The 15,405-nt window shown below is 39.8% G+C and overlaps 1 protein-coding gene across 1 annotated transcript in view, besides 1 other annotated feature; it reads right to left on the bottom strand.

Moving 5' to 3' along the window:
• The window catches only part of XKR4 (XK related 4), a 440,027-nt gene that overhangs the window by 412,908 nt on the left and 11,714 nt on the right, over window positions 1-15,405 (bottom strand). The gene's annotated exons all lie outside the window — the stretch shown is intronic.
• Window positions 26-918: an enhancer, noted in NCBI's record as "OCT4-NANOG hESC enhancer chr8:56040789-56041681 (GRCh37/hg19 assembly coordinates)". NCBI's record gives its function as "activates a minimal SCP1, AML or CMV promoter by ChIP-STARR-seq in naive H9 embryonic stem cells {active_cell/tissue: H9 hESC(naive)}" and the evidence as "EXISTENCE:reporter gene assay evidence [ECO:0000049][PMID:30033119]".

Below are 15,405 nucleotides of genomic sequence, written 5' to 3'. Positions count from 1 at the left end.
CAACAGATGTTCGTGCTGTCTCAAAAACTTTATGAAAAATATTGTTCTCACTGTAAGTTTAATATTACCTTATTCTGAGTCAAAAGTCTTCTAAATTCAGCTGGCATGTGAGAATATTTGTAGAAGCTTCCAGGTCTCCTGTGGTTGTGCTGATGAAGATTGAGAGCCTATCACCATTGTTGGTTAGACGATCCTATAAACAAAATGTTGGTATCCATCTCTCCCAAATTCCAATCCTCAATCCACCTCCTGACTAAGCATCTGCATTTCAACATCCTGAATAACAGTACTGCTGCATGGATGACAGCAGGTGCCATTTGCACTTTGATTACCTGTGTCATTCATTGTCTTGGAGAGAAACCTCCCATAAGCTTTCTCCAGAATGAGAAAACAAGAATCTGTCTGTTTGTTGCACAGGTCAAACATAAAGAGCTGAAATGTCAGCAATCATGGTACGTTTGGTTTGCTGGTTTTTGTGTTTTTTTCCGACATGTTTAAATGAGTTTAAACAGTCATCCAAGACAGACTCAGCTACTTTTTCACTTACTTTGTCACATGAAGTGTGGTGCTTTTACAAGATGAAGTAACTGAATACTGACTTTGAAGGCTTGCCTCAAAGTCAGACTTGACTAAGTCACTCTGCATCCCTGTGTCTTCATCCAGAGACACATGAATGACCATTCTTGGCTGAAGCCAAGTCAAGGCCAGCTCAGCAGCCTGTGAGTGTCTTCAGTTACCTCTCAGTGGGATGCTTGCACTTCTATGTGCATGAGAGCTGAGACTACAGAAGTTCTAGTAGAGCACTGGCCCTGCTTAAGAGTTAGGCACTACAATGAGATATCATCTCACACCAGTTAGAATGGCGATCATTAAAAAGTCAGGAAACAACAGGTTTCCTGTTCTTGACATCCTGGAGAGGATGTCAAGAAATAGGAACACTTTTACACTGTTGGTGGGACTGTAAACTAGTTCAACCATTGTGGAAGTCAGTGTGGCGATTCCTCAGGGATCTAGAACTAGAAATACCATTTGACCCAGCCATCCCATTACTGGGTATATACCCAAGGGATTATAAATCATGCTGCTATAAAGACACATGCACACGTATGTGTATTGCGAGACTATTCACAATAGCAAAGACTTGGAACCAACCCAAATGTCCAACAATAATAGACTGGATTAAGAAAATGTGGCACATATACACCATGGAATACTATGCAGCCATAAAAAATGATGAGTTCATGTCCTTTGTAGGAACATGGTTGTAACTGGAAACCATCATTCTCAGCAAACTATCGCAAGGACAGAAAACCAAACACCACATGTTCTCACTCATAGGTGGGAACTGAACAATGAGAACACATGGACACAGGAAGGGGAACATCACACACTGGGGACTGTTGTGGGGTGGGGGAGGGGGGAGGGATAGCATTAGGAGATATACCTAAGCTAAATGACGAGTTCATGGGTGCAGCACACCAACATGGCACATGTTTACATATGTAACAAACCTGCACGTTGTGCACATGTACCCTAAAACTTAAAGTATAATAATAATAAAATAAAATTAAAAAAAAAAAAGAGTTAGGCACCAGGCTGGGCATGGTGGCTCACGCCTGTAATCCCAGCACTTTGGGAGGCCAAGGAGGGCAGATTACCTGAGTTCAGGAGTTTGAGACCAGCCTGGCCAACATGGTGAAACCCCATCTCTACTAAAAATACAAATATTAGCCGGGCATGGTGGTGCATGCCTGTAATCTCAGCTACTCTGGAGGCTGAGGCAGGAGAATTGCTTAAGCCCAGGAGGCGGAGGTTGCAGTGAGCCGAGATCATGCCACTGCACTCCAGTCTGGCCGACAGAGTGAGACTCTGTCTCAAAATTAAAAAAAATGAAAAAAAAAAAAAAGAGTTAGGCACCTAAACTTAAATGATAGCAAATGATAGCCTTCAGTAGGTTTTAACACTTCTTTTGGGGGGCATTTTAGCTGGCTCATACGAGAATAGGTGAAAAGTGGAGAAATCTTGAGTTTGTTAACCAGTTTCTTGCATGCCACTGTCTTCCCACAGTACTCCATGCAACCCACTAGCACAGGACTCATCACTTGCTATGTATGATTAGTTTTCTGATCTGTTTATCCAACTGGATGAAATTTCCCTGAAGGTCAGAAACCACATCCTGTTTACCTGTGAACTCTCTTTGTTTTATAAAAAGGATTCCTGTTTAAGATTTTTTGAAAATAGCAAGTTATTACTTGGGCTTTTGTACATTTTAAGGAAAAGACATTGCATAAATCAAAGTCACTTGAATTCTCTAATCGTGGTTAACCTGGTGAAGCACTTGATTGATACATGCTATTTGACTAAATGAATGAGTGAATGCCTAAAAATAGCATTTTATGGGATTCCAGTAGGGAGACCCCAAAGCAAATTTAGCTGTAATTGACAAACTGTATTTTTCAGCAGTGAAGTAGCTAGAACTGAAAGTCTGATGGGAACTTTTTATGGAACTTCTCTGGGTTGTGATGGGCTTATTTCTTTATGTACCTCTGTTCTCCCCATCATATTCCACCTCTACCCTATGACTGCCAAAGCACAATTTTGCCTTCTAAATTGTATTTTTTGCATCCACTCCAGCTGGTTTAAGTAGAGAAAGATTTATTACAAGATATTATATGACTTAAAGAATTTCTGGAGGGATTGCAGAACCAAGCCTCGATGCCCCATGGCCAGGAGCAATGCAGCTGGACAATGATGAACAACAATGGAGACTTTACTTCCAGCAGCTCTACTGGAGCTATGACCTGCTGCTCAAAGGAGGACAACAGGGACAAGACATTAGAATCTCCGTCACTGTTTCCCCAGAAGAACAAAACATTTCCCAGCACACAGCCATTACCTTAACTTGCTCACTTCATCATTCCAAGTTACCACCAATACAAGTTTTTGGTAGAAATGGGTTCTCTAGCTGCATGAAAGGGCTGAAACTTTTTTTTCTTTCCTCCTCCCTCACTCTCTTCCTTCCTTCTTTCTTTTATTAATTAATTTATTTCTGTAGCTTTCAGTTTCTATCACATAAGATGCACCAGAAGTGAGTTGGTGTGGGTGTCCAGTGAGCCAATCTATAATAACTGCTCATAAAAAAAAGGAATACAAAATTCTCCACCTCTCCAGGTGAGGACTACAAACAGGGCCCAATTCAAGGACATACAACCTGTGTAGTAACACAGGGCTCACACTTAGAAGGGCCTTGTATTTGGTTTCAAGAGAGGCAGATTTTAGATATTGAGCAGATACAAACAGAATTTTAAAACAAGGACAGATTTATTTACTCATAAATGAACTTGTTCATCTTTTTGTATGTTGATTTTTTTTTTCTGGGAATTGTCTTTGCATATTCTTTGCTCATTTTTTAAAACGAGTTGTTGGCCATTTTTTCTTATTAATTGGTAAGAAATTTGATGCTAGGGAAAATAGGCTTTTGTGTTTAATATATTGCAAATAAATTTTTCCAGTTTGCGATGTCTTTGGACTGTTTATGGCTTTTCCTTTACTTATTTTGTAAAAGGATTTTACCATATTAATGGGCAATGTTTGTGAAGAAATAAAAAACCAAGGCTGGGCATGGTGGCTCATGCCTGTAATCCCAGGACTTTGGGAGACCAAGGCGGGCGGATCACCTGAGGTCGGGAGTTTGAGACCAGCCTGACCAACATGGAGAAACCCCATCTCTACTAAAAATACAAAATTAGCCGGGTGTGGTGACGCATGCCTGTAATCCCAGCTACTCGGGAGGCCGAGGCAGGAGAATCAATCGCTTGAACCCAGGAGGCGGAGTTTGCGGTGAGCTGAGATCGTGTCACTACACTCCAGCCTGGGTGACAAGGGCGAAACTCCATCTCAAGAAAAAAAGAAAAAAGAAAAGAAAAACCAGCAAGTTAATAATAATAACTGCAAATAGAACTTCTTACGATCTATAACCCTATGAGAAGCACTTGCTAAAATGGATTTTTTAAAAATAGGTAAGATCTGTTATACTTACTTCTACCATCAACAGCATTTTGTAGGAAAACAGCTTCATGTTAAAACTTATGAGTTTAAAATACCTTCATAGAATTAGCAGAGGCTAGATGTTGCCACAATTGGCTGCCTAGCACTTGATAGAACTTTATTAAATACTCTGATGAATTATCAAATGTAATATTTCAAGCATGGATAGACTAATCACCTTTGAATAAAATGATGGTTATCTTATATTGCACTTAGAAATCTCCATCTAGCTTTCCAAGTAAAAATGAGGATATTGACTTTGGGAGGCTAAGGTGGGAGGATTGCTTGAGGCCAGGAATTCAAGGTTGCAGTGAGCTATGATTATGCCACTGCTCTACAGCCTGGGTGACAGAGCAAAATGCTGTATCTAAAAAGAATAAAAAATAAAATAAAAGGATATTGAAAATGGTTTGGATGGCATGTATGTCTGAGAAAACAGCAAAAACCATGGCCAAATGTCACTAAATTATTGAGATGCTGAAAGCTCCTCTGAAGCTCAACGCTTACTCTGATGTTACAGAAGGAATTGTGATTTTAAAAATGTAGCTTTAAAAGTTAATGGAAAAGATTAAAAATGACACCAACTGAATGCGAGGAGATACCATATTACAGTAATAATAATAAACAATCATGAGCTTTAAATCTTACAGCAGCGCTGCTGCTCAGAAACAAACTAAAAGGAACCTTGAAAAGGGAAACCACCACAGCTCCTTTTGTCCCGCCTTCAGGGAACAATGCTGTTTACTCTGTATGAACCAGAGGCTGGGGAGAAGGAATGTAGTTTTGCTCTACTAAAGAAGGTTCCACAAAGAGCTGAGAAGAGGCTGTGGTGATAGGAGCAAGCAAGTAGATGAATGGCCAAGGAGCACAGCAGAAGGAACCACATGGAGAGTGAGCAGCGTCGCCAGCTTGGGAAAGTCTGAGCCAGCATTCCAAGTCAGGCAGGAGAAATCAGGGGAAGTTAGGGGAGGCATTTGTAAATCTGCATGGTGTTAAGATGACAGCTTTGAGGAGGGCAGAGAGAGGGTATGGGCCACATTTAAGACAAGAAAACTCACCTTGTTTTAAAGATAGTGGCAAAACAAAAAAGTAGATCTCATGGGATTGCTATACCTAAAAACAGTTTATGGTGACATGCAGGCAGGTCAAGATTAGGGGGATGCTAGGATTACTCTTGCCATTGATTTTTGTCCAATGAGAATTGTTAACTGTAAATTGTAGTTTCAGAGTCTAAAAAAATGGTGCAAATTTCATCACTTGTTTGCTCTCAGTCCTTAAGAGAAAACAAGAATGGGATCAGCACACTGATAAATCAATAAATCATGGCTGTCACTTGGAGGTGCGGGGGTGTCCCCTGTGGGACACACACACAGCAGGAGGATATTACATAGAGGCACGTGTCCGAGGCTGCTTCTGAGAAGGAGCAGTGAAACCAGCAGGACCAAAGCTACTTGTTAAGGGCCAGGCCTGTCCTGAGTCTGGGATGGAAGGTACTCCCATTTTCTCAGTGGATAGCTGCTCCTGAGATGTTCTCGAAGGGAACCAACAGGCAGACTTAGACAATGCAGTGTCATCATGGACTGAAGGGTTCTGAGATTCCTGAGCCTATGCTCTGGGCTCAAAGGGAGTGCTGACTGCAGAAATCCACTCCTTCCACCCACTGGCCTGATGCCAGCTGCTAAACTCAACAAGGAGGCCAGGGGCATGCTTCATGGGAACGTCCTGGGCATCATATGCCTTTTCATTTCTGTGGATGAGGTTCACAAGTAAAACAGAGTATCTAGAAATGAGGAATTTACTCAGTTTTCATGGGAATGAATATAAAGTCCTCTAATAATTTGCTGATTTCCATTTCATTCATTCAATCAATAAATATGTATTAAATGACATGGACCATATACCATACCACATGCTGGGGATACTACTGTGAGCAAATTAAAGTGTTTCTCTTTCCATGAGGAGCACATTTCAGAAAGTGGCAGAATTTAGAAAAGAAACTAACCAGTGTGAGGCTAATAAAACCAAGAGTCAATCTGAATCAATAACCCTGTTCCACAGTAAGTGGAAGGTATTAGGAAAGAAGTGCAAGCCAACAGATAAATGTCAGGTACAAGTGGGTTCAGAGAGGAGCTTGTACACACACCCCATGAAGCTCAATCCACACCCTGCCATTCCGTCTTCACCCATCCTTCCAGTTCACTTTCCTCTCATTCGCTGGAAGACCCCCTCCATGTGACCACAGTAAACTCCTCAGGTGACTACAGGTTTAATTAATCATTTCTTAAACAGAAGGAAAAAAAAAAGGGCAGGCACTTTGCTGCAAGTCACAGCATTTAGAATAGAGTTCATTTGAACAATATTTCATTCAATTGTTATTGCATCTCACGTTTGTCCAGTGGAATTTCAGAGCATTCATCTCTAAATCAGGTAGAACTTTGTTTTTCCTTTGAAGCACACGAAAACGTGATTCTTTAACACGTGCTAATTCCAAAAACAGAAAGACATGCTCACATACTGACTATTCACAAGTCATTCCATTCTAATCAACAGACTTACAAATTATTTTCACTCCTGAGAGGTAAAAGTCTCAATCCCTTTCAAAGCTAAGAGGCGTCAACCAGATAGAATACTGATTATGTTTAATTAATTTAATAAGGTTTTAGTGTCATTCTCAGCCTTATTAAAATAGTCATAATGCATCATGTAAAATTTTCAGTTTCACAGATATTTGTATAAAATTTTAAAACCAAAAAGGTTTAAGATATATTAACAAATTTGGGAACACAGATGAAACAAATTTTTATGCAAAATGAAAAGACATTTCTACTACTTTGACATGTGACACTGACATTTGACACCAAAGTTGTTTCTATACAGTACAAAGTAAACAAGAAAATTATCTGACTATATAATTTAGGCCAAAAATTATTAACATGGCCATCTTATTTGTTGGCTTTAGTCAAACAAATGAGGATGAAATTTTTAATTCATTATCTGCTTTTAAAAATTATAAAAATAATTCAGCTCAATCCTAGCTAATACTATAACAATTTATAGATTCTGGCAAGGCCTTTTAAAATATTTTTTAAAAAGAAGATTTTCTGCCATTTATACATACATTCTCCATTCAGGTCCATTAGAGGCAGAGCCCAAGCGGAGCAGAGGTGAGTGAATCAGGCTGCCACCCCAGGGCAACTGTCCAACTCTCAGGCAGAGCTCCAAAGTATGTCAAAGGGGTGTGTGTGTGTGTGTGTGTGTGTGTGTGTAATGTTGTATTTGTGCCGTGCCTTTTTTCTGTAACATAAAAATTATTTACCTCATAATTACATTTGTAAAGTAATAATTATACTGAGCAAGTTTAAAAACCCACAAAAATCACTAATTCCCAAGGTACAAAGACAAGTTTTGTTCCAATAGTTTTTTATTTCCCCCATGTGAATCTAGAGAGTTGGTACCAGAACTCAATGTCTACATGTCCAGCAGAATAATTCCACAGAACTACCTAATCACTAGAATAAATACAATCTTTTACAGTAATTTAAATTTTTATTATTTTATCCATTTCTCATCAAGCATAATTATGTGATCTGTACTATAAAGCATAAATTCTAAACAGCAAACTACTCCCTAATTTTAGTGTGTCTGTAACTTGGACAAGTTCACGGTATCTTAACTCTTTCTAGAATAACATCGTGTGCCCTGGTTCACTACTCTGTTGCCCAACATAGGGTCATTTGGCACAGGGTAGGTGCTCAGAAATTGGTAAGTGTGGGAATGTGAAACGGTACAGCCACTCTGGAAGACAGTTTGGTAGTTGCTTACAAAACTAAATGCACTCTTCCCATATAATCCAGCAATCATGCTACTTGGTATCTACCCAAATAAATTGAAAACTTATGTCCACACAAAACCCTGCATACAGATGTTTATAGCAGCCTTGCTCATAATTGCCACAATTTGGAAGCAACCAAGATGTCCTTCAATAGGTGAAGTGATAAATAAACTGTAGTACATCCAGACAACAGAATATTATTCAGCATTAAAAACAAATGAGCTATCAAGCCATAAAAGATATGGAGGAATCCTAAATGCATACTGCTAAGTGAAAGAAGACAATCTGCAAAGGCTACATACTATATGATTCCAACTACACGACATTTTAGAAAAGGCACAACTTCAGACAGTAAAAACACCAGTCATTGCCAGGAGTTTGTGGGGATGGAGGGAAGGTGAATTAGGCAGAGCACAAGGAAGGTTTCGGACAATGAAACTATTCTGTATGATACGTCATGATAAATACATGTCATCATACAAGTATTTAAAACACAACAAATGAACCCTAATGTAAACTATAGACTTTAGTTCATGATAATATATCAATATTTTCCATCAGTTGTAACAAACGTACCATACTAATGCAAGATGTTAATAATAGGGGAAACTGGAAATGGTGGGTGGGAGAAGGGGAAGAGGGCATATGGGAACTTTCGGTACTTTCCATTCAATTCTTCTGTAAACCGAAAACTTCCCAAATGAAGATATACTGAAATAAAAGGTGACAGGGGTCTCAAAAGTACCATTTTCTTAAGAATATTTACTGAGCAGTTTCTAACCCATGTTCCCAAAGTATCAAAGACAGAGAATTCACCACATCCTAATAATTTGAATTTCCTGGACCAGTCAGGCACCTATAGCTCACCAACAGAGGTCTTTCCAGGGTGGAGTTCACCCGCCTATAAAACAAACAGAAGTTCATTTCTTAAAGTAAGAAAGGTAAGCCCTACTTAAACTCAAAACATGTGCTACAGTGAGAGCTTAGGGAACTGAGAAAAGGGAGAATCAAATTTACAACCAAACTCCCTTTAGGCTCAACAAGAAACCCATGAATGAATGGCAAAGTCAGTTACCTTTGGCACAGGAGGTTGGTTAAGCAGCAGGCTCCATTACCAGGAATCCCTAATTAACTTCTGTCGAGAAATTTCCTAGCTAACTGGAGCTGACTGTGAAAACAAACCCTCCTTCTGACTTGCACACATGTTCATGCACCATTGTAAAAGTTCAGGGTAGTTATTACTGAGTTGTCACAGGCTCATTAATTATCCACTATACTGTATTAAGCTTTACTCTGGTAAATCTTTTTTAATTGCCCAGCCTGCATTTACAGAGCATCTTTATTTAACATGCTCCCAACTCTGTTTATGTTTATGCCTTTTCCAATAATTCATTAAGTAGAGTTCTTAACCAGCACTACCAGAATCTTTAGTAAGAACTCAGCCAAGCCCACTTAAATGCTTTCACTCCACTCATTATGGAGCCTTTTAAAGCTCAGAAGATTTTTCAAGTCCACCCCTCACTCACACTTCCTTTTCCCCACCTCTGAAGAGTACAGGAAACTTCTTTCTCCAGTACTTTCAAACTGCAATTGATTCTTTCCCACTTTGAAAAGGAAACTGTTTGAAAATACATGTCTGAGTGTGGCCTGTGAGCCTCCCCTGACACTCATTGCTGCGCATTCCCCAACACAGTCAACTTCGGATTCCTTAAGAGAGCGCCCAAGTTGCTGGTTAGTTTGGCCCCAAACCCCCTTCTCATCTGCTGTCCTTCTCTCCCTCTCCCCTTCCATTTCAGCCCTCTACACAACACAGCAGAAGATATCTTTGCCCATTCCTTTTTTTTTCTGCTTAACATTCTCTTAAGTCCCACTTAAAAGCTCCTACCTCTGTGAAACCTTCCCAGCAGGAGTCCCTTCTGGGAGGGACTTCCCAGTCTAAGAGTCTCTTCTGGGAGGGACTTCCCAGTCTGAGAGTCTCTTCTGGGAGGGACTTCCCAGTATGGGAGTCCCTTCCCAGACTACATTCTCTCTGCCCTTGCTGATAATGCAGGGCACCTTTGGGATATAAACAGTTATAAATGGCAGACTCTTGCAGGACAGTGAATTCCTTGAAGTCAGAGAGCACATTTTAATAACGTGTGCGTGCTCAGAGCCTGCTTAGAGTGAATGCTTGGTAAATATTTATTAAATGAATGAGTGAAGGCATTTTCACTCCACAGTATCTGAGTTTAATTAAATCATGTCTGCTTTTACCCACACATCCTAACCTATATAACTACATGATCACATGTATATATGGAAGAAAATCATGAAAAAAAAGTGCTATAGATTTTCATGTTTCTTACAGCATATTAGTATCAAAAATCTAAGTAAATTAGAACAAATTTTTGTGCCATGAACTTCGAAAAACATATTTAGAAATCACCTAGTCTCTCCAAAAAAAAACATACTTTGCAATAAAATCATTTAACTAAAAGAAAAATGATACTGCACAATTATTCATGGAATGCTACAAAGAAATTAAAATAAGGACCAGAATAAAGTTGGTGAGCCCTTTCAACGCAAGTCATATTCACTTTTGAGAAGCATCTTTTGAACGGGAACAAGGGAATTCTTTTGATTTTTAGAAATGAACGTTTGGCATTGTTTATACAAAGACTAGCTGTATCTGATACTGAAAATTTTGAATTGCATGCATTTGAGAGTGATGAATCTTCTAGCACTTGCCTATGCTGGACTGTTAGAGTTGGTCCTCTGAGATAGGTCTTAGGAGGTCAGTTTGAAGTATGTCACATAGATATAAATCCTAGTGGCCTCAGAGAGAGAGAGATGTGACTGACAGAGGAGCTTTGCCTTGAATGCTTGTAGTAGAATTCATAATTCATGAACATATGTGGGGTAGAATGCTGCTAGTATATGCAAAGCATGACTACATACAAAATGAGGATATAAATACAAGCTAATGATGTACTATTCACATGGGAATGGAATATACTTAGCATTCTTTAGTACTACGCATTTCCCAATGGAAATAATATGTATTTTACCAGTAGGTATCAAATGAATTTGACACATTTTAGATAAAACTGACCTATAGTCTCCGTGTTTGAAATCTGTGTGACACATCAATCCCAGGAATAGTTTATCAGAAATCTAGCCCAGGTCAATAAAATGTGAATATCAGTCCACACGCAGATATTCAATAAGGTATATAAAAAGAATTGATATTCTCGGTTTAGGTGCCAGTTTTCATAGAACTGCAGAACTAGAAAAGATCCGGAAATGATCTGATTTCACTCCCACCCAACATTTTATAGCTGAGAATTTAACAGCACTAAGTGAAGACTCAAATTTGAGTCCAACAGCTGGTGGTCACCCTGGTGGTCAGCAGAAAATCCCATAATTGGTCTTAATTAGTTCTCATTGATATTATGGTAACATTGAACTCATTACCATTTTTAGCACAGTCTGAAAGGTCAAGAAATGCTTCTCCAGGTGAGTCTTGGATTAACCTTGGAATAGTAAGATATAGTGGGAAAAGCATGAGATTCGGAAACAAAAGTCATGAAAGTGAGCCCAGGTACTTGCTACTTGGTAGCTGTGTGCACTTGAGCAAGTCTCTTGCCCTCTCTGAACCTCAGCTGGTTCATCCTCAGATGAGAATAGCAATAATACCTACCCTGGGAGCCTGATGAGAAGATCGGATGGTTTAACAGAATGAATGTGCATGGCAAGCTACAATGGCACTTACAAAGATTTACTCCTTATCATCATCATCAAGTACTATTTATTAATCCACCAAATAAGCACAGCATGTTGCTCGGCCTTAAGCAAGGCAGGAAGCAGGGAAGGCAATGAGCTTTACTCATATTAGGGATTTTGTCTCCTAAAGAGTCCATTTTTACCAGCAGCTAATCTTATTTGCAAAATCCATTAAGTAAACCTGCCTCAGCAGCAAAATAACTCACTGCCCTTTCCCTGGTAACTTCTAGTAAATTCTTATCTAGTATTTTGAAATATTTCACTTTGGATTTCCCTCTTCTCACTCCTCAAAAAGATCTGACATCATCTAGCTCAGCAATGTCCAATAGAATAGAATAATGCAAGCCACATACACAATTCTAATTTTCTGGTAGCCATATTTATAAAGTAAAAAACAACCAGTAAAATTAACTTTTATCATATATTTTTTATTTAACCTGGTATATCCAAAACATTATTGGTTCAACGTGAAATCAGAATAAAAATAATACGATAGATATTATCTTTTTTCTTCACATCAAGTCTTTTAAGATCCCTTGGGTATTTGACACTTAGAACACATCTCAATAGGGACCAGCCCATTTCAAGTGCTCAGCGGACACAGGTGGGTAGTAGCAAGCATATGGAAAGCCATGTGGGGTGACCACACCTACTGAAAGAGGAGACTTAAAAAAATTACCTTAGTAACTCTCCATGGAAACATTTAAGAACACTGAACCAAAAAATCACCTCCCAGCACATAGATGGGGGAGGGAACCCTAGCAAGAAAAGTGACAGCATAGCAACACCAGCTCTTACATGAAAGGGAAATCAGAAAACTATTACTTTGAAAAGAGGCATTTCTGGGAAGGTCATCCATTTCTATCTTGTTTAATGTGAAATAAGGAAATCAATAACATGTCTACACAAATATGCATTTTATAAGGCATCATTCTCATTATCCCTTTATTCTAAACTATAGACACTGACATGTCTTGTCATATTGTTGAACGTTACATTTCTCACGTAGGAAGACAAATGGTGAAGCATGCCATCAAACTGAGCCATCCTATTTCTCCTTACAGTAAACCTGTGCCTTGTGGGCCTCAGGGGTCACTGTGAGGAGGGGAAGTGCAGGGAGCAGGTTGTTCACCAGAACTCTTTCTGTATTGTTTTATTTAAATATGCAGCTAACTCCTGGCTGGGGATTAGTCCTTCACACCTGGAGTCCCAGTTCAATTTTCCTCAGTTCCTATCTCAGTTCTTTCTCCGTGTAGATACAGAGGCTCTTCAGTCTAGGAGATTAAAAGCTAAGGCAGAGGAATGTTCAGAAACCCAGCCTCGCTCTCCACTATCCCTTCCATCCAGCCAGCATACACAAACTTTGTCCACCCTCACTACTTCTTTTTCAGAAAAATATAAAAATAAGCCCAGAACCAGCCCACTCCACTTCTCTGAGCAAAGACAACCACTATCATGTCTTGGTCAGAGCTCTTCACTCTCTATTCTTGGTGTCTGGTTACTCTGAAGCCAATGGTTCCCTCAGCATCCACCACTGTTGTGAAGGCCTGGTCCCTCTCTCACCACCTCCTGTCCACTTTGATGACTCCAGTCCTAAAGCCCAAATGACATAAGGTCTGAGTACTGCATAAAACTGTGAGAGGTAGGCAGTCAATGTGCTTAATTATCTTCTTAGAGATTGGTTCTGCAACATAAAACCATAAAATAATGGACTTTTTGTGTGTGTGTGTGAGATGAAGCTCTGTCACCAGGCTGGAGTACAGTGGCATGATCTCGGCTCACTGCAACCTCCACCTTCAGGTTCAAGCAATTCTCTTGCCTTAGCCTCCAGAGTAGCTGGGACTACAGGTGCGTACCACCATGCCCAGCTAATTCTTGTATTTTGAGTAGAGATGAGGTTTCACCATGTTGGCCAGGATGGTCTCGATCTCTTGACCTCATGATCCGCCCAGCGTGTCCTCCCAAAGTGCTGGGATTACAGGTGTGAGCCACCACACCCAGCAAATAATGGACTTTCAATAAAGACTTCAATCTTTCACTTCTTTTGCCATTCAAAACATTTCACATTTTGCTTAAAGCATTGTCTATAAGGAGATTCATTTGTGTGTGTGTGTGTGTGTGTGTATGCACCTATCACTGTTAAGTTTCCAAGCAACAACCCTTGCTATACTACACTTGCTATATAACCTAGCTCATACTAGGTGTTTGGTGAGAAAGCCAGTTACAAATATCTGGAGCAACCATATTTCCCATAAATGTCCAGCTCACATTAGCCTTTCTGACCATTTGAGCTGAAATTTCCCTCCTCTGTAGCAGCAGTAGTTGCTCCATGCTTTTCAAACTCTAATGTGCATACTAATCACCTGGGCATCTTGCTACAATGCTGGTGGCAATTTGGCAGGGCTAGGGTGGGCCTGAGATTCTGCACGTCTGAGAAGCTTCCAAGAGATGCTGACAGTTTGGGTTTGCAGATTCCACCTTCAGTAACAAGCCCACAGCTCTGTCCTTGGCGCATCATCACAAAGAGATTTAGGGGGGATGCCCATGACTAGGCTGCTTTCCTAGTGAGTAGACTTTTTGAAAACATATTATTTTAATGCATTTTCCTTACTATGACCCTAAGCAGATGTTTGTGGAGTCCATGAATAAAGGGGCTAACACTGGTTGCTTATTTCAGTCATTTTATTCTCAGCAACTGATCTTAGTGACCAGGCAGTGGTTTAGCAGATGAGTTGCTCATGAGCTTGCAGGCAGTTGACGTCCCTGAGTGAGAACCTGCCTGCAGTCCCAGCTCTCTGCCCTCCCCTCAGTTGGAACAGAAGTAGATCTATTGTGAATATAAATCAAACAAATTTCTCTTCAGTTTTACATTTTGAAGCATGGGCATGGTTTACTGTCTTGATGTCCTTGATTTCAGATTCTCACCCACCTCTTCAATTAGTAAGCTTATTTCTGGCCTTTGCTTGGATTCCCAGGGTTGGGATGATGTGTTTTGGCCCCATTTGTGATGATGTGCTTTGGCCTTCACCCTCTGGACTCTGACTTCCTGTACACTTCTGATAACATAAAATTCTCAGTCAAACATGCACAAACTGCTGACCCCACTGGTGCTCTCAATACATTTTTCAAAAGAAGATATATAAGCAGCCAACAGACATATGAAAAAAATGCTCAACACAACTAATCATCAGAGAAATGCAAATTAAAATCACAAGAGTACCATCTTACACCAGTTAGAATGGCTATTATCAAAAAGTCAAAAAATAACAGACGCCTGTGAGGTTGCAGAGAAAAGGGAACGCTTTCATACACTGCTGGCAGGAGTCTAAATTAGTTCAAACATTGTGGAAAGCAGTGTGGCAATCCCTCAAAGAGCTAAAAATAGAACTACCATTTGATCCAGCAATCCCATTTCTGGATATATACCCAAAGGAATATAAATCGTTCTATCATAAAAACAAATGTGTGTGTATGTTCACTGCAGCACCATTCACAATAGCAAAGGTATAGAATCAACCTAAATGCCCATCAGTAGCAGACTGGATAAAGAAAATGTAATACATAGATGCCATGGAATACTATACAGCCACTAAAAAGAGTAAAATCATGACTTTTGCAGCAACTGGATGGAACTGGAGGTCATTATCCTAAGTGAAATGACATAAACAGAAAGTCAAAAAACACATCTTCTCACTTCTAAGTAGGAGCTAAACAATGGGTACACATGGACATACAGAGTGGAATAACAGACACTGGAGACTCCA

The sequence above is a fragment of the Homo sapiens genome, chromosome 8 (assembly GCF_000001405.40).
Source record: "Homo sapiens chromosome 8, GRCh38.p14 Primary Assembly".
Classification (NCBI taxonomy): Eukaryota; Metazoa; Chordata; class Mammalia; order Primates; family Hominidae; genus Homo; species Homo sapiens.
The sequence above is the reverse complement of the archived record's forward strand: the minus strand, read 5'-3'. Positions and strand labels throughout refer to the sequence as shown.